The 16,904-nt window shown below is 48.3% G+C and overlaps 1 protein-coding gene across 9 annotated transcripts in view, besides 7 other annotated features; it reads right to left on the reverse strand.

Moving 5' to 3' along the window:
* The window catches only part of LUZP1 (leucine zipper protein 1), a 94,481-nt gene extending 82,262 nt beyond the window's left edge, over positions 1-12,219 (reverse strand). For 3 of the 9 annotated variants that reach the window (NM_033631.5, XM_047429987.1, NM_001395462.2), the window contains exon 1: positions 2,863-2,953. The gene's annotated coding sequence lies outside the window, so the exon portion shown is untranslated. Of the gene's footprint in view, positions 1-2,862; positions 3,122-11,587; positions 11,787-12,082 lie in introns of those variants that run through there. The other 6 variants (NM_001142546.4, XM_011542090.4, XM_047429992.1 and 3 more) reach the window with 3 other exon arrangements.
* Positions 1,659-2,190: an enhancer, noted in NCBI's record as "H3K27ac hESC enhancer chr1:23494055-23494586 (GRCh37/hg19 assembly coordinates)". NCBI's record gives its function as "activates a minimal SCP1, AML or CMV promoter by ChIP-STARR-seq in naive H9 embryonic stem cells {active_cell/tissue: H9 hESC(naive)}" and the evidence as "EXISTENCE:reporter gene assay evidence [ECO:0000049][PMID:30033119]".
* Positions 1,962-2,101: a silencer, noted in NCBI's record as "silent region_405". NCBI's record gives its function as "represses an Ori minimal core promoter by ATAC-STARR-seq in GM12878 lymphoblastoid cells {active_cell/tissue: GM12878}" and the evidence as "EXISTENCE:reporter gene assay evidence [ECO:0000049][PMID:35858748]".
* Positions 2,191-2,722: an enhancer, noted in NCBI's record as "H3K27ac hESC enhancer chr1:23494587-23495118 (GRCh37/hg19 assembly coordinates)". NCBI's record gives its function as "activates a minimal SCP1, AML or CMV promoter by ChIP-STARR-seq in naive H9 embryonic stem cells {active_cell/tissue: H9 hESC(naive)}" and the evidence as "EXISTENCE:reporter gene assay evidence [ECO:0000049][PMID:30033119]".
* Positions 3,093-3,152: a silencer, noted in NCBI's record as "silent region_406". NCBI's record gives its function as "represses an Ori minimal core promoter by ATAC-STARR-seq in GM12878 lymphoblastoid cells {active_cell/tissue: GM12878}" and the evidence as "EXISTENCE:reporter gene assay evidence [ECO:0000049][PMID:35858748]".
* Positions 3,798-3,847: an enhancer, noted in NCBI's record as "active region_357". NCBI's record gives its function as "activates an Ori minimal core promoter by ATAC-STARR-seq in GM12878 lymphoblastoid cells {active_cell/tissue: GM12878}" and the evidence as "EXISTENCE:reporter gene assay evidence [ECO:0000049][PMID:35858748]".
* Positions 11,686-11,785: a silencer, noted in NCBI's record as "silent region_407". NCBI's record gives its function as "represses an Ori minimal core promoter by ATAC-STARR-seq in GM12878 lymphoblastoid cells {active_cell/tissue: GM12878}" and the evidence as "EXISTENCE:reporter gene assay evidence [ECO:0000049][PMID:35858748]".
* Positions 11,876-12,105: a silencer, noted in NCBI's record as "silent region_408". NCBI's record gives its function as "represses an Ori minimal core promoter by ATAC-STARR-seq in GM12878 lymphoblastoid cells {active_cell/tissue: GM12878}" and the evidence as "EXISTENCE:reporter gene assay evidence [ECO:0000049][PMID:35858748]".
* Positions 12,220-16,904: the final 4,685 nt, after the last annotated feature.

Here is a 16,904-nt window from a genome sequence, read left to right on the forward strand (position 1 = left end):
CATTACATAAATGAAATATATGATCACTTAGGTACTCCCCATTTTAACAGAAATGCTTTCATCATAAGAAATAAGTAAGCACCTAGAGGCATATAGTACATACCACTACTACACTACTACAGCCTTATATGTTTGTCTTTTTACCAAAAAAAAAAAAAAAAAGAAAAGAAAAACAGCACACTTCAAGTGCATATTTACAACACTGCTGAAAGAAAAGGCAATACTATTGGAGAATAGACTTAAATGACTTATTCTAGGGCCCACAGTCACCCAGTGGCTGAGTCAAAGGCCAAAAAACTAGGTCTCATGATTCCCAAGGCAGTGGGCAAAGTAGAGAGACAACCACAGACCTGAGAAACAGACCTGGGTATGAATTCCAGTGCCACTTCTTACTAGTTGTGTGTGTGAACTTGGGACAGCCACTTTACTTTCTGACCTTTGGCTTGCTCATCTATAAAACAGGGATGCTGACTGGGAGCGGTGGCTCACACCTGTAATCCCAGCACTTTGGGAGGCCGAGGCGGGCAGATCACTTGAGGTCAGGAGTTCGAAACCAACCCGGCCAACATGGTGAAACCCCATCTCCACTAAAAATACAAAAATTAACCGGGCAAGGTGGCACACACCTGTAATCCCAGCTACTCGGGAGGCTGAGGCAGGAGAATAGCTTAAACATGAGAGGCGGAGGTTGCAGTGAGCCGAGATCGCACCACTGCACTACAGCCTGGGTGACACAGAGCACTCCGTCTCAAAAAAAAAAAAAAAAAAAAAAAAGGGATGCTAACTACCACCTCACAAAATTCTTGGGAAGACTGCCTAAGATCTATACCACCTAGCATAATTACTGGGTACAGAATAGGCAACTCAACAACATTAGTTCCTTTTCTTGGTCTTAAATTATTTAAGATTAAGAAAACACCTCATAATCAACGAAGGCTAATTAACAATCCGCATTATTAATCACTGGTCAACAATGAACCTGTGTTTGCTGCCTTCTTCATACTCCAACCCATTCCCTTCCCAGCTCACTATTTCCAGCTTTTCAAACTTTAGTTACTATGTTTAGAAAAGTGATTTAATTTTAGAAACCTGGAAAATTCTTCTAGGAGTAAATTCTTCTAGGAGTAAATTGAGCAAAACCTTAATCTGCCCCCAGGGGAATTCTGAGCAAAACAATTATTTCTGACAAAAGAAGAATTTTCTATGGGGGTAATTCAATTTAACCACATGAATACTACCAAAGTTGCAAACAAGGTGACAGAAGGCAATCTGGAACACACCTTCCAGATTCCCCAAAAAGAAATGTCCTCCTAAAATCCAAACCCCTCCCTCCCTAATTTGAGGTAGTCAAATCTTATTAGGTGATCTGAATTCTCCCGGCTCTGACACCAGTCCAGCTCCTTAGGCCAGAACTGCAGCCGTCTGTAAAAGAAATACCCTGAGCAAACCCCACCCCTCAAAACATCCCCAAAAGGCAGGGAGGTCCAGAGAGTATTTTCTCCTCCAACGACAGATAAGGCACCAAGGGCTCAGCAGCGCAATCCTTCTCCCAAGGTCATTCAAGTCAGTGAAGGTGCGACGGTGGAGCTGCAGGCAGTCTGGCCTTCTGGAAATCACACTACAGGGGTTTTGGGGGTGCCTACTCTCTTCCCCTCTCCCACCCGCAAGGGTGAGCACTGGCCTCGGCATTCCCGAAACAAGCCACAACAAGCTCTGCAGTGTTAGGAAAGGGGTTGACGCGATGAAGAAACAGATGCTCCAAAGCAAGATGGTCTTTCTCGGCTCACAGAGGCTCCTCCAAGGTTATGCACAGAAACCGCAGCCACCTCCAAGAGCTCTAAACCGGGCTCCGAAGCCCCAGCGCGGCCGCTGCGGGTCGCCAGGTTCCCTGCAGGCAGGCTCCGCAGCCAGAGGCCACCAGCCCCAGAAACCGCACTTCATTCCTGCGCTCCGGGAAGCCATGGCTCCTTCCCTGCCCGGGCGGCTGGGCGGGGGCCGGGGGTGCGCCGGGAGGCGGGCCCCGCGCTGCGGAAAGTTCACCGCGGCGGGCGGGGGGAGGCCCCGGCCCCGCTCGCCGGCGTCCCCCTGCAGATTCCACCATTAATTAGTCCTAAGGACTGTCTACTGGCAACTTAAACAAAGCGAATGCCTCGAATTCCTTCCCGGCCCAGCGGTCTGGCTGCGAGACCAGCAGAGCGCCCGGGACGCGGGCCGGCGCGGCCGACAGCTGCGGCGGCCGCGGGACCCCTCCCCGCCCGGCCCGCGGCCCGCGCCCCGCGCCCGCAGCTGGCCCCGCACGCCGGCCCGACGCGCTCCCAAACCGCCCTCCTCCTCCTGCTGCTGCAGCTCCCGGGCCCTTCCTGTCTGATCACTTCCTTCCTCCGGTGCCCGCCGGGCCCCGCGCAGCCCCCTCCACGGCCGCCTCGTCGCCCCCCGCCCCTGTCGGCCCGCGCCCCCTCCCCCAACCCCAAACTCTACCCCCGAAACTCTTCGCCGCCCCCTCGAAAATGTCTCCTCCGCGTCTCTGCCCCAAACATTTCTCCTCAGAGTCTCGCTCCCACCAAGAAGTCTCCTCAGAACCTTCCCTCCCCCTCCCGAGGAAAAATCTCCTCAGAGTCTCTTCCTCCAACTCCACAAACATGTGCTGGGTCTCGCCCCAAAAGGTCTCCTCCTGAGCCCTTCCTCCAAAATCCATTCCAACTCTCCCCCAACTCCACACCCCATCTCTCCTCGGCTGCGCCCGCGGTTTCTTCTGCCCCGTGGCCGCGGGTGCCCCGACCTCACCCGGGACCGGCCTCCCAACCCCGCCGCCCTCCCCTCCCCGCGCCGCGCTCCCGCCGCCGCCGCCTCACGGACCCTCACCTCTGCGGCCCCGAACCGCGCTCCCGCCAGCGAAGGGTTCCGCCGCTCAGCTGCCAGCGACCGGCGCCTCCTCTGGCTCCGCGGGACTGACAATGAGGGGCGGGGCCAAATTGTGACGTCAGCGTTCTGGAAGGCGGGGTCTTTGTGATGGGCGGGGTTGTCTGTAGGCCCCGCCCCCTCCGTCCTTTTTTTCCCTTCCCAGGACTTAGACTCCACCAAGTTTTTATTGCCTCCGTAGCTGGGTCCTGTGCTAGGCGCCCTGGGAAATCGAAATGGAAGACAAGACTTCTCGATTTCAGGAGGGACACTTTCGGCCCGCGTGGTGGCTCAAGTCTGTAATCCCAGAACTTTGGGAGGCTGAGGCGGACGGATCGCTTAAACTCAGAAGTTCGAGACCAGCCTGGGCAACATGGCGAAACCCCATCTCTATAAAAAATACAAAAATTAGCCGGGAGTGGTGGCGCCCGCCGGTAAGCTAAAGTAGGAGGATCGCTTGAGCCGAGGGAGGTCGAGGCTGCAGTGAGCCGTGATCGTGCCACTGCACTCCGGCGTGGGTGACAGAGTGAGACCCTGTCTCAAAAGAAAAAGAAAAAAGCGGGACACTCTCAGTAGGGTTGTGAGGATTAAATGAGATAATCAATGGAAAGGTGCTTAGCCTAGAACCTGATATGGAATAATCACTCAACAAATCCTATTTCTATTACTCTGCAAATGCAGAGAAGGAACTCAGCTCAGACTCGGGAGGCATGGGTTCCCGTCCCCCACTGTGCTATTAATTCTTTGTGTGATGCTAGACAAGTACTTTCCCATCTATGTTCCCGATTTTCATCTTCTTTAAAATGGGAAGGGGGAATAACCAGATGATCTCAAAATCCCCTCCCATACTTCTATGACATACTTCCTTTAAGTCTACTATCTAAAAGGCACCTAGTGCCCTGAGAAGCCAGGAGGAAGGCTTCAAAGACAGCCCAAGACCCACACCCAGCATAGTACAGGACACAGCCAGAGACTGCTCTCGCTGCGGATGCCCTCCCACACGCTGGCACGCAGCAGCATTCACAAGCCAGGACACAGATGGGCTGAGGGCTGCTTCCTCTCTGACTACAGCAGCATGGTTGGTCTCTTGAGACATCTCTTGTGTAAGCTCTTTATTGCCTATGGAATAAAGGCCAAAGCCCTGGCCTGGTATGATCACTTCCTACCTTTACACACACACACACACACACACACACACAAAGTTTATCCAAACTTCTCTTAGCACACCCACTGCTTTCCCACATTTGACCCTTTGCTGAAGCTCTTCCCCTGCTGTCTCACCTCCCAGCTTCTCCCAGCCAGAAAGCAATCCTCCCTGTTCTGAATAACCAATAACATTGTGTTTAACCCTCACGTGGGCATGAACACTACAACTTATAAAGAACTGACCTCCCATTTGTTTCTTAGCACTTCCTGGAGGTCAGAACCCACACATGTTTGTGGAGCTCAAGCTCTGATGCCAGAAAACCCTGGGATCATATGTTCTGGGGTCATAATAGCCATCTCTGAGCCTGTCTTCTCATCTATAAAATGGGGATAATAATATAGTCTTGTGGTGTTTGTTTTAAAATTACCTAAGATACTGTATGGAAAACATCAGGCACAGTGTTCCACAAACAATATGAACAATATGATTGTCATTCTTATTTTCTTTTTCTTTCTTTTTTTTTTTTTTTTTTTTTGAGACGAATTTTCTCTCTTGTCGCCCAGGCTGGAGTGCAGTGGCACGATCTCAGTTCACTGCAACCTCTGCCTTCCAGGTTCAAGAGATTCTCCTGCCTCAGCCTCCCAAGTAGCTGGGATTACCGGCACTTGCCACCACACCTGGCTAATTTTTGTATTTTTAGTAGAGACGGTGTTTCACCATGTTGGCCACGCTGGTCTCGAACTCCTGACCTCAGGTGATCCACTCACCTTGGCCTCCGTAAGTGCTAGGATTACAGACGTGAGCCACCACATCAGGCCCCTGTCATTCTTATTTTCAGTAGTATTATATTGACCAGGCGCGGTTGCTCATGCCTGCAATCCCACCACTTTGGGAGGATCACTTGAGTCCAGGGGGATGGATCACTTGAGTCCAGGAGTTTGAGACCAGCCTGGGCAACATGGCAAAACCCCGTCTTTACAAAAAATACTAAAAATTAGCCAGGCCTGGTGGTGCCCGTGCAGTCTCAGCTACTCAGGAGGCTGTGGTGGGAGGATCCCTTGAACCTGGGAGGTGGAGGCTGCAATAAGCCATGATAATGCCACCGCACTACAGCCTGGTGACAGATCGAGACCCTGTCTCAAAAAAAAAAAATATATATATATATATATAATTACTGTATGATTTATATATGTATTTTTATATATAACTACTATAATCAGTATTATTTCTAGTTATTAACACCACACAGCACCTCATAACAATCCACCTAATCATTTCATATGGAAGACTTTAGGGTCTTGAGAAAGGAAGAGGCTTGCTGAAAGTGGCCCTGCAAAGCATTCCCATTGGAATGGAAACCAGCACTCCAGTCTGCAGACCCCAGATGGATTCAGCAGAGTCACATCTGATGATGCCCCAGGGCATCTCTGCCATTCAGCATGCCTCCAAGCTGGGGTCAGCGTGTAGTTCTCTCTGAGAGTTCTTTGCAGCACAGCTGACCCATTTCTGCTTCATGCCTTTCTCCTCTCACCTTCTTTACAGAGACGTGGATCTGTGTTAAACCGCCCTTGGCATCTCTGCAATCCTCTAGGAGAACTGCAATGAGGCACTGGGCATTTCTAGAGCACTGGCCTGTGGAAGGAGGGGAGGAACTTTGGGGTTCTGATTAATTTCCTATGCTGCAGGCAGGCACATGGGTGTCCTGAAATGCCTGGCCCGGTCTTCAAAGGCCTCTAATAAATTATAGCTTATTTTTAGAAAAAATATTCAAAAACACCACTTCCTGTGAAAAGTAATCATGGCTGTAAGATTGCTGGAGGCAAAGGAAGGGCCTTTACTGAGTTGCTCCTAAGGGCTAATGCTGATTCCAAGTACCACAAACCCTTGGAAGGAAGAACCCAGGACATATAAGGGAGGTTCTGAAGAAAGAACTTTCTCCCCAGGACCCATGATCCCAGCAACCACTTATTGATTTATTCATAGCAAAAGCTTTGGCACAGGAAAGATCGGGATTCAAAACCCAGCTCTGCCACTTACTAGTTATGTAATCTTGGGCTTTTAGGTCTCTGCACCTCAGTTTCTCATCTGCAAAATGGAAATAATAATACTACCTTTCTCACACAGTGCCTGTGAGGGTTAAACATGTGAAAGAGCTGAGTTCAGAGCCTGGCACCTAGTTCATGCCAGGATATAGTGGTTGCTGTTACTATTTGAACATGTCCTCATCCTCCCAGCAAGACCTCCATTAGTAAAAGGAAAGGAATAGATTTGTATGATTGGACAATAAAGGTCTCTATTGGGCATTGTTAAGTGAAAAGAGTAAGAGTAAGTTGCCGAATTACAAGTGTAGTAGGATCCTGTAGTTATAGTTTGTAATATATGCTTAGTATATGCATAGAAAAATATGGAGACTATAAAGAACTAAATAGGCCAGGCGCAGTGGCTCACACCTGTAATCCCAGTGCTTTGGGTGGCCAAGGTGGGAAGATTACTTGAGACCAGGAGTTTGAGACCAACCTGGGCAACATAGTGAGACCCCTGTCTTTACAAAAAAAAATTTTTATTTTTTTATTTTTTTTTTTTTAGACAGAGGTCACCCTCTGTCGCTCAGGCTGGAGTGCAGTGGCACGATCTGGGCTCACTGCAATCTTTGCCTCCCAGGTTCAAGCGATTCTCCTGCTTCAGCCTCCCGAGTAGCCGGGATTACAGGAATGATCCACCACACCCGGGTAATTTTTGTATTTTTAGTAGAGATGGGGTTTCACCATGTTGCCCAGGCTGGTCTCGAATGCCTGGGCTCAAGCGATCCTTTAGCTTTGTCCTCCCAAAGTGCTGGGATTGCAGGCGTGAGCCACCATGCCCAGCCAAAATTTTATTTATTTATTTTTATTTTTATTTTTTTTGAGACAGAGTCTCGCTCTGTTGCTCAGGCTAGAGTGCAGTGGTGCGATCTCGGCTCCGCCTCCCGTATTCAAGCAATTCTCCTTCCCCAGCCTGCTGAGTAGCTGGGATTACAGGCCTGCGACACCATGCCCGGCTAATTTTTGTATTTTTAGTAGAGACGGGGTTTCACCATGTTGGTCAGGCTGGTCTCGAACTCCTGACCTCATGATCCGCCCACCTCAGCCTCCCAAAGTGCTAGGATTACAGGTGTGAGCCACCGCCAGGCATGGTGGCTCACACCTGTGGTCCTAGTTACTCAGGAGGCTGAGGAGGGAGGATTGCTTGAGCCCAGGAGTTGGAGGCTACAGTGAGCTATGATCTCTGCACTGCACTCCAGCCTGAGTGACAGAGAAAGACACTGTCTCTAAAAAAATAAATAAATAAAAAAGAGCTAGAGAACCTTCAGTTTTTTTTCTTTTTTTTTTGCTTTGCTGAGTTTCATTTTGTTTTTGTTTTTTCTTTTTTTTTTTTTTTTTTTTTTCAGATAGAGTCTCACTTTGTCACCCAGGCTAAAGTGCAGTGGCATGATCTTGGGTCACTACAACTCCTCTTCCCAGGCTCGAGTAATCCTCCAACCTCAGCCTCCCAAGTAGCTGGGATAACAGGTGCCTGCCAACAAGCCCAGCTAATTTTTTTTGTATTTTTGGTAGAGATGGGGTTTCACCATGCTGCCCAGGCTGGTCTCCATCTTCTGAGCTCAAGCCATCCACCTGCCTTGGCCTCCCAAAGTGCTGGGATTACAGGTGTGAGACACTGTGCCCAGCCTGTTTTGCTGTTCTGTGTGTGCATATAGTGAGAACTTCCAAAAAAGACTTTGCTATGGAGGGGAAAGAGGGTAAAAACACAGCTACAAGGTATACCAGCAGTGGGCATCTGAGCCACCTGTGCATACTGCAATAGAAAGTTCCACAGATCCCATCTCCTCCTTCGTGGGGTTCCAAGAAAGCCCATGCCGAGATGATTTTCACTTTCTCCCCTGACCCTAGCCCTTGGTTGCATTTGAACTTTCAATGCTAGAAGCCAAAAGTAAGACACCTAATAGAAGTCTCAGGAACCATGACAAGGCCAGGACAAAAAGAATTTTAAGCAGGGAGAATTTTTTTTTGTCCCTGTCTGTATTAGTCAGAGTTCCCCAGAGAAACAGAACCAATAGGAGTATATATATATATAATTTACTTATTATGAGAATTGGCTCACAAGATTATGGAAGCAGAGAAGTCCCACAATCTGCCTTTTGCAAGCTGGAGAACCAGAAAAGATGGTGGTACTAAGAATGGGGGTTTGTGGGCAGGGAAGTGCTGGTATAAGTCTCAGAGTCCAAGGATTGAGAACCAGGAGCTCCAATGTCCAAGGGCAGGAGAAGATGGATGTTCCAGCTCAATGAGAGAGAGCAAATTTTCCTTCCTCCTCTTTTTTGTTCTGTTGGGCCCTCAGTGAATTGGACAAGGGCCCTTGTTCTTTGGGCCCTCAGTGAATTGGATCATGCCCACCCACATTGGTGGAGGCAATTTTCTCTACTCAATCTACCAATTCAAATATTAATATCTCCTGGAAATACTCAGAGATAATGTTTTACCAGCTATCTGGGCATCCCTTAGCCCAGTCAAATTGACACATAAAATTCACCATCACACTGTCCTATGCCCCCTCCACACCTTCCAAAGAATCACAATATGTCAGCACCTTGTGTCTACCATGTCTAAACTTGCACTTTCACTTTCACTCATTATATCTTTCTGCAATTTAATTTTTTACATGTAGAAGTATTACTGTGTCATCAGAAAAAAAGGCAATAAAGATATACATAAAAAGAAAGCTAACCAAGCTGGAGTTGGCTCACTTTTGCTGGTTTGCAAACAACAAATGATTACCCAGTATGATTGAGGCCAGTGCAAAGTCTGCCAAGAATCATAGAAAGTCAGAATAGGAAGGAATAAAATAGCCCTCAATTCTCCTATCATCCCCAAAATGGCATGATTTTAAGTTCCCTCTATTCCTTTCCTCCCTCATGTTTCAGGGCAACCGTTACTACATGCATTTCATTCATTCATTCATTCATTCATTCATTCCACAAACATTTATAGATCCTTTATTCTGAACCAAGAATCATGCTGGGTACTTTACATATACTACCTCTTAAAGGTTATAGGGGTCATTATTGCTAGTATATTGCATATACTATCTCTTAAAGGTTATAGGGGGTCATTATTGCTATCTTGCAGACTGGGAAAACAAGGCTCAGACAGGGAAAGTCACTTACTGGTCACACATCTAGTAGGATCTAAACCAAGACATGTGCAACATCAAAGCCCAAGTCCAGGAGGAAATGGACTGTATTCCAAAGCAAATAAGCTATGCACTCAGGCAGCCATTATTGGCTGGGTGGCTTTGGGCAAGTCATTGAACTCTTCTCAGCAGCAGTTTTCCCACCTCTGCAGAGTAAGTGTATACCCACCTATTTCATGTAAGCTAAGTGCTTTGTAAATCGTAACACATAATACAAAGGAAAGGCATCTCAGCTCTTCAGGGACTAGGTCTCACTCGTCTTTGGACCTTTTGGTGCTTTCCCCCCTAGTGTTTGCCTCCATTAGTGTTCATCCCCCATTAGCGCAATTAGGACAGTCTTCCTCTCATGCATCTTATTTCTCCCTCCAGCCTGGGACTTCCTCGACGACAGGAATGATGCTTATTAATTTCTGATCCCTTTCTGTCCCTAGTACAGTGTCTGGCCTGCATCCCTCCATTCCTTTACATTTTTATGCATTTCATAAGAAATGGCTGAGTGCCTAACATGTGCCAGGCACTACACAGACTGTAATACAGCAAAAGTCCCAAGTTTCCTGGACTGGAGGAGTGGAGAAACAGGACAACATTAAACACAATTACTTAATAACAATTCCATTAAGTGCTGCAAAGAATCAGGTGATATGCCAGGAGGGATTGGGGGAATGCAGGGTGGGGACCTAACTGAATTGAGGAGCCAGAGAAGGCTTCCTAGAAGAGGTGGCATGGAGCCTCAGAGAGGGTAAGGAACATGCTCAAGGTCACACAGCTGGTAAGTGGCAAAATTGGGATTTTAACCCAGGAATGCCTGAGTACAAAGCCCATACTCTACTAGAAAACACTGTCTCTTATCTGTCTTTTATTTCCTCCACCTTTTACTTCCTTGACTTTTTTTTTTTTTTTTTTAGATGGAGTCTTGCTCTGTCGCCCAGGCTGGAGTGCAGTGGTATGATCTGGGCTCACTGCAACCACCACCTCCTGGGTTCAAGTGATTTTCCTGCCTCAGCCTCCCGAGTAGCTGGGATTATAGGCGTGCGCCACCACACCCAGTTAATTTTTGTATTTTTAGTAGAGACGGGGTTTCACCATGTTGGCCAGGCTGGTATTGAACTCTTGACCTCAAATGATCTGCCCACCTCAGCCTCCCCAAAAGTGCTGGGATTACAGGTGTGACCCACCATAGCCCAGCCCCCTACTTCCTTGACTTTTATTGACGAGAAAGGAGTAAGACCTGTCCAAATGAATGCTCTAAAGCAATATTTTTTCCCAGCTTTTGGGGGATCACAGATTCTTTTAAGAATCTAGTGAAATCCATGAAACCTGTCTCCAGAATTCCATGTATACAGACAGACCCACAAAATCTTGCATACAATTTCAGGGAGTTCATAGGCATTCTGAGGCCCAGGTTTAGAATTCATTCCATGGAGGACCATCCGACCTTATAGTGAGATGTCAGAACCTCAGAAAGAGACACCAGGACCCCATAAACAGCTCAAATCCCCAGAGAGATCTCAAGACCCTATAGAAAGAGTCTCAAGATCCAGTAGAAAGATCTGGGATCCTGTAGAGGCCCCCAAGTTGCTACAGAGTAACAGCTGGGGCTTTGCAGAAATATTCTCAAGAGGCTATAGACATAGAGGAACCTCAACCTCTCATGAAGCTGGGGTCCTCAAAGCAGACTTGGAGAGCTATAATTTTGGGGGGTTTTTTGTTTTTTGTTTTTTGAGACAGGGTCTGGCCTCTGTCACCCAGGCTGCAGTGCAGTGACACAATCACCCCTCACCACAGTCTCAAACTCCTGGGCTCAAGCAATCCTCCTGTCTCAGCCTCCACAGTAGCTGGGACTAGAAGCGTGTGCCACCACGTCCAGTTAATTTTTAAATTTTCTGTAAGGATGATGGGGGGGGGGTCTCACTATGTTTCCCAGGCTGGTCTCAAACTCCTGGAATCAAGCGATCCTCCCACCTCGGCCTCCCAAAGTGGTGGGATTACAGGCATGAGCCACCATGCCCTGCAGAGGGCTATAATTCTTAACCCTTGTTGGATCACTGACGCCTTTGAAACTTCGAAGAAAAATGCAACACACACAACATGTTACACAATTACAAGGGGTTCACAGACCTCTGAGAGGACATCGGTAGCCCCAGGGTACAGAACTCTGGTTCTTGAGGTGCGGCAAGAACGTAACCCCCGCCCCCCAAACACCCCAAAAACCTGGAGCAGAACCACAGACCCGAGGCACAAACTTTAGGATGAAACAGACCCCGAGTTGCATCCTGGCCCTGCCGTTTACTAGCCATGACCTTGAACACTCACCTAGAAACCCTCAGGCCTCAGCATCTCACCACCCAAAAGAGAGGGCTGGACACCCTTCCCTCCCCAGCCTGGCCCCCGCGGCGTGCGCTCCGTGACGGGTGGGGCGCTGGCGCTTGACAGGACTCAGCCTCTCTCCCCTCCTGCGCCAGTGAGCCATGAATCCGGCTGCGGCACTTCATGAAATACTCATGGGCCGACTGCACCAGGCTTGCGGGCGGCGGGGGAGGGGGCCGGCGCGTTCGCCGTTTGCCGCAGTGACAGCTCCGCGCCGCCAGCCGGCCGCGGGCCTGGGAAGCCGCCGGTGCCGGGCGCGCTCTCGGCCTTTCCCACCCACCAGGCAGGGCGTTCCCGCCAGCCGGCTTCCTGCAGCCGAGGGCCGGGGAGGAGGGACGGCGCTGAGGGGCCGCAGGGCCTGGCAGGCCTGGTTCCTGGCTTTCTCTCCGCGTTTCCTGAGCAGGACCGGCCGGGGGATGGGACCCAGCGCAAACCTCCTACCCCGGGAGCGCAGCCAGGAAATCGCGTCCTTGTTAATTCAGGTTCCTCCTTTGCGCTGAACGGGGCTGCTTTCCGTCCGCGATCAAGTGGGCATGATGCGACCCACTTATCCCAGGAGGAAGCGGAGAGACGAAATGGCAGCTCCCGACCCCACGACACAGCAAGATTCCAACCCCATGATGTCAGTGTTAACTCCATCCTATGGATGAGAAAGCTGAGGCTTTGAAAAATGAAGTGACTTATCCAAGGTCATCATAAAAATATTACTACTAATAAAATAACATGCTTACTACATACCAGGCACTGTGCTACAAATACTCCAGGTGTTTTTTGTCATTGGGTTCCTGTAATCTATGAAGATAACTGTTGTTCCTAGTTCATAAATGAGGAAACAGAACCAGAGGCCAAGTGGCATCTCCAGTGATGCACAGCTACGAAATAACAGAGCTAGGAATTAAACTCCAGCCTCCTGTTTCCAGAGCTCAGCCTTTCTCTATCCTGCTTCAGCACTTCAGTTGAGTAACCATGACCTTGTCTCATTTGTTTCTGGGTCCTCAGAGCCTTACCGAGAACTTGACACAAAGTAAGTGCTCAGAGGTGACTAAGGGAACCTTACATGGAAGTTCACACTTAGAAGGACTGATAGGAGGCATCTGTCACGTCACCCTTTCTAGAGCCTTCAGCCAAGTGAAAACTTAGCCTCTGCCTGAATACTCACTATCATGATAAACTCTCCCCCTCTCCACACCCCCATCCCATTCCCTTGTTGGACAAATAGATTTGGTTTAAACGTAAATGCTCCTTTTTTTTTTTGAGACGGAGTTTCGCCTTATAGCCCTGGCTGGAGTGCAATGGCATGATCTTGGCTCATTGCAAACTCCGCCTCCCGGGTTCAAGTGATTCTCCTGCCTCAGCCTCCCAAGTAACTGGGATTACAGGCGTGTGCCACTACACCCGACTAATTTTGTATTTTTAGTAGAGACAGGGTTTCATTGGTTGATCAGGCTGGTCTCAAACTCCTGACCTCAGGTGATCCACCCACCTTGGCCTCCAAAAGTGCTGGGATTACAGGCACGAGCTACTGTGCCCAGCCTTAAATGCTCCTTTTTTTGTCCGTGGTTTCTTGTAAACAAGGCCAGGCCATTTTCCTCCCTGTGGCCACATTACATATTGCATGGTATTCTTAGCCATTCTATAAGGGTAGACGGTTCAATAATTTTAAGTTCCTCGTAAACTGGGACAAGGTCAGCTGTTCATCAAAGCTGTTCCCCTTCCACGTGTAGAGTTGTTTCTGAGAAAAGCAGCCAGACTACATTTTCCAGCACTCCTTGCTAATTAGGTACATAACTCGTGTTCACCAGTGGGATATGGGCAGAGAACATGAATGCCATGTCCTGGCCAAAGTGGTGAAGAAGGATGTATGCTTGCTCAAAGCTCTTTTCTCTCATCTGCCAATCAGATGTCAACACCAGGGGGCCCTTGGAAGCTACAAGTTGAACGGGGCAGAGCCTTAGTCAACCTGGGTCTCACTCATCACTTGACTGAGGGGGGCACACATTGAACTAATTTCTATTGTATTTAGGCGTTGCGATTTCAGGATTTATCTATCATAGCAGTTGGCATAACTAGTATGGGACTACCTTGGGCTCACTGTTGTATCCTCCACATGACAGAGCACAGTGCTGGTTACACGAAAGATGCTCAAAAGACATCTTCAACTGTGTCCAACTGCCTCAGCTGGTCAGAAGCCATCTCTGTTCATCTGATGTCTTATGTAATGTGTTTTCCAAAAAGGGTTTCAAGGTAGTTTCATTGCAGCCTCGAGACCATTTGACTGATAATTAAAGAACAAGAATTCGGGAGCGATAAAAGCCTGGCTCAAAGGCCAGTGGGGAAAAAGGAAAGAAAGATGAAATACGGACTAATTAGGGTAGAAATGGTGGGCTGAGTTTTCTAAGGATAGTAACTGTGAAGAACAAACAAATCATGGTTCTGAGTTTCCTGGCAGTCAAAGCAAAGAGGGAACCAGGATGAGTTACAAACTGTGTAGGAAGTAGTAAACATGTGATTGAATACACAGACCCTGGAGGCAAATTACATTGTTTTGAAACCCAACTCTACCACTTACTAGTCACACGACCTTAAGTAGTTGTTTAATTTCTCTGTGCTTCTGTTGCTTCTTCTGAAAAACAGGATAATATAATAATAAACCCCTTTCTTAGGGTCCCTGGAAGGATTAAATGACTTCAGACATATTTAGTTCTTTTTTTCATTTTGTTTTGTTTTTTGAGGTGGAGTCTCGCTCTGTCGCCCAGGCTGGAGTGCAGTGGTGCAATCTCAGCTCACTGCAACCTCTGCCTCCCAGGTTCAAGTAATTCTCCTGCCTCAGCCTCCTGAGTAGCTGGGATTACAGGCACCTGCTGCCACGCCTGGCTAATTTTTGTATTTTTAGTAGAGACAGGGTTTCACCATGTTGGCCAGGCTGGTCTCGAAATCCTGATTCGAGTGATTCACCTGCCTCAGCCTCCCAAAGTGCTGCGATTATAGGCATGAGCCACCGCGCCCAGCTGCATATTTCATTCTCATAACAGGCCTGTTACATGGTAAATCGTATAGAAGAATTAGCTATTGCTGTGATATGGTTGGAAGAATCAGGCCAGTGATTTGGGAGAGACAAATTTTTCCCTGCATTAAACTCTCAGGGAATGTATTACACATGTGACCCTAATACAATGGATGGTTCCTCAATCAGACAGAGTTGTGCCCCGTGTCACATGGTTGTTTCTTTTTTTTTTTTTTTTTTTTTTTTTTGAGACAGAGTCTTGCTCTGTAGCCCAGGCTGGAGTGCAGTGGCACGATCTCAGCTCACTGCAACCTCTGCCTCCTGGGTCCCAGTTCAAGCAATTCCTCTGCCTCAGTCTCCCGAGTAGCTGGGATTACAGGCACGTGCCACCATGCCTAGCTAATTTTTGTATTTTTGGTAGAGACAGGGTTTCACCATGTTGGCCAGGATGGTCTTGAACTCCTAACCTCGTGATCTGCCTGCCTCGGCCTCCCAAAGGTTGTTTCTCTTATTTTTGGTCCAGACAAACCTTGGTATTCTACTCACTGGGTAATTCTGGGGCAGGATACTAGGGTAACCTAAGGCCCTAGGGACCTTTCTGCTGACAGGCCAGGTAAGTGTAGTAATGAAGGGCAAAGGGGTTAGTGTCAGACAGACCCAGGAACGTTTGTTAACTTCTTCAAGCCTCAGTTTCTTCATCCACACAGTGAGAACAATAACACAAAAACACCATGAAAGGGTTGCTATAAAGATTACATGAAAGAATGTACATAAGGCCAGGCACGGTGGCTCATGCCTGTAATCCCAGCACTTTGGGAGACCGAGGCGGGTGGATCACCTGAGATTGGGAGTTCAAGACCAGCCTGACCAACATGGAGAAACTCTGTCTCTATTAAATATATAAAATTAGCCAGGCGTGGTGGCATATGCCTGTAATCCCAGCTACTGGGGAGGCTGAGGCAGGAGAATCGCTTGAACCTGGGAGGTGGAGGTTGTGGTGAGCCGAGATCACACCATTGCACTTCAGCCTGGGCAACAAAAGCAAAACTCCGTCTCAAAAAAAAAAAGAAAAAGAAAAAAAAAGAATGTACATAAAACGTTTATCACAATAACTAGTATTATAGGAAGACTTCAGTATACAACCACCCACAAAATAAAAAGGAAACTAGCAAAATAAAACAGAGAATATCACGTAGAACCCCTGGAAGAAGCAGAATAATTTTTAATGTTTCAAAAATTGGAACAGAGGCCAGGTGCAGTGGTTAATGCTTGTAATCCAACACTTTGGGAGGATAAGGTGGGAGGATTGCTTGAGCTCAGGAGTTTGAGACCAGCCTGGGCAACAAAGTGAGACCTTGTCTCTACAAAAAATAAAAAAATCAGCCGGGCACAGAAGGCTGAGGTGAGAGGATCGCTTCAGCCTAGAAGGGCGAGGCTGCACTGAGCTACAATTGCGCCACTGTACTCCAGCCTGGCGACAGAGCTAAATTCCGTCTCAAAAAAAAAAAAAAAATGCCAGGCGCAAGTGGCTCATGTCTGTAATCCCAGCACTTCGGGAGGCCAAGGCGGGTGGATCACGGGGTCAGGAGATCGAGACTATCCTGGCTAACACAGCAAAACTCCGTCTCCACTAAAAAAAACACAAAAAATCAGCCAGGCGTGGTGGTGGGTGCCTGTAGTCCCAGCTACTTGGGAGGCTGAGGCAGGAGAATGGCGTGAATCCGGGAGGCGGAGCTTGCAGTAAGTCGAGATCGAGCCACTGCACTCCAGCCTGGGCGACAGAGCAAGACTCTGTCTCAAAAAAAAAAAAAAAAAAAAAAAAAGTGGAACAGAAATGGCACATTTCCCCCAGAATGTGGTCCTGGGCTGTCCAAAGCATCATTTCTTTGCTTCTGGCTGGAATTCTCTTGGCGTAACTTAGTGTGGTATCAGCTCAGACTGGCCAGTTTTTGAAGCCACCCTGGCCTGGAGACGTGCTGCAAAGCCAGAATGACCACCCTGCCCCAACAACAGACTGTCTTTGATGGGGGCTGAGAACCTGAAGCTTCCCTTATTGAGTGCTTCCTAGGCACCCAGTGCTGTGCTGAGTTTTACACACATTCCCTCGTCCAGCCCCCACAGTAGTCTCAAGGCACGAGCCCTATTCATAATCACATTTTACAGATGAGGAAACTGAGGCTCAGAAAGGCAACATGGGCCAGGCACAGTGGCTCACGCCTGTAATCCCAGCATTTTGGGAGGCCAAAGCAGGTGGATCAC

The sequence above is a fragment of the Homo sapiens genome, chromosome 1 (assembly GCF_000001405.40).
Source record: "Homo sapiens chromosome 1, GRCh38.p14 Primary Assembly".
Taxonomy (NCBI): domain Eukaryota; kingdom Metazoa; phylum Chordata; class Mammalia; order Primates; family Hominidae; genus Homo; species Homo sapiens.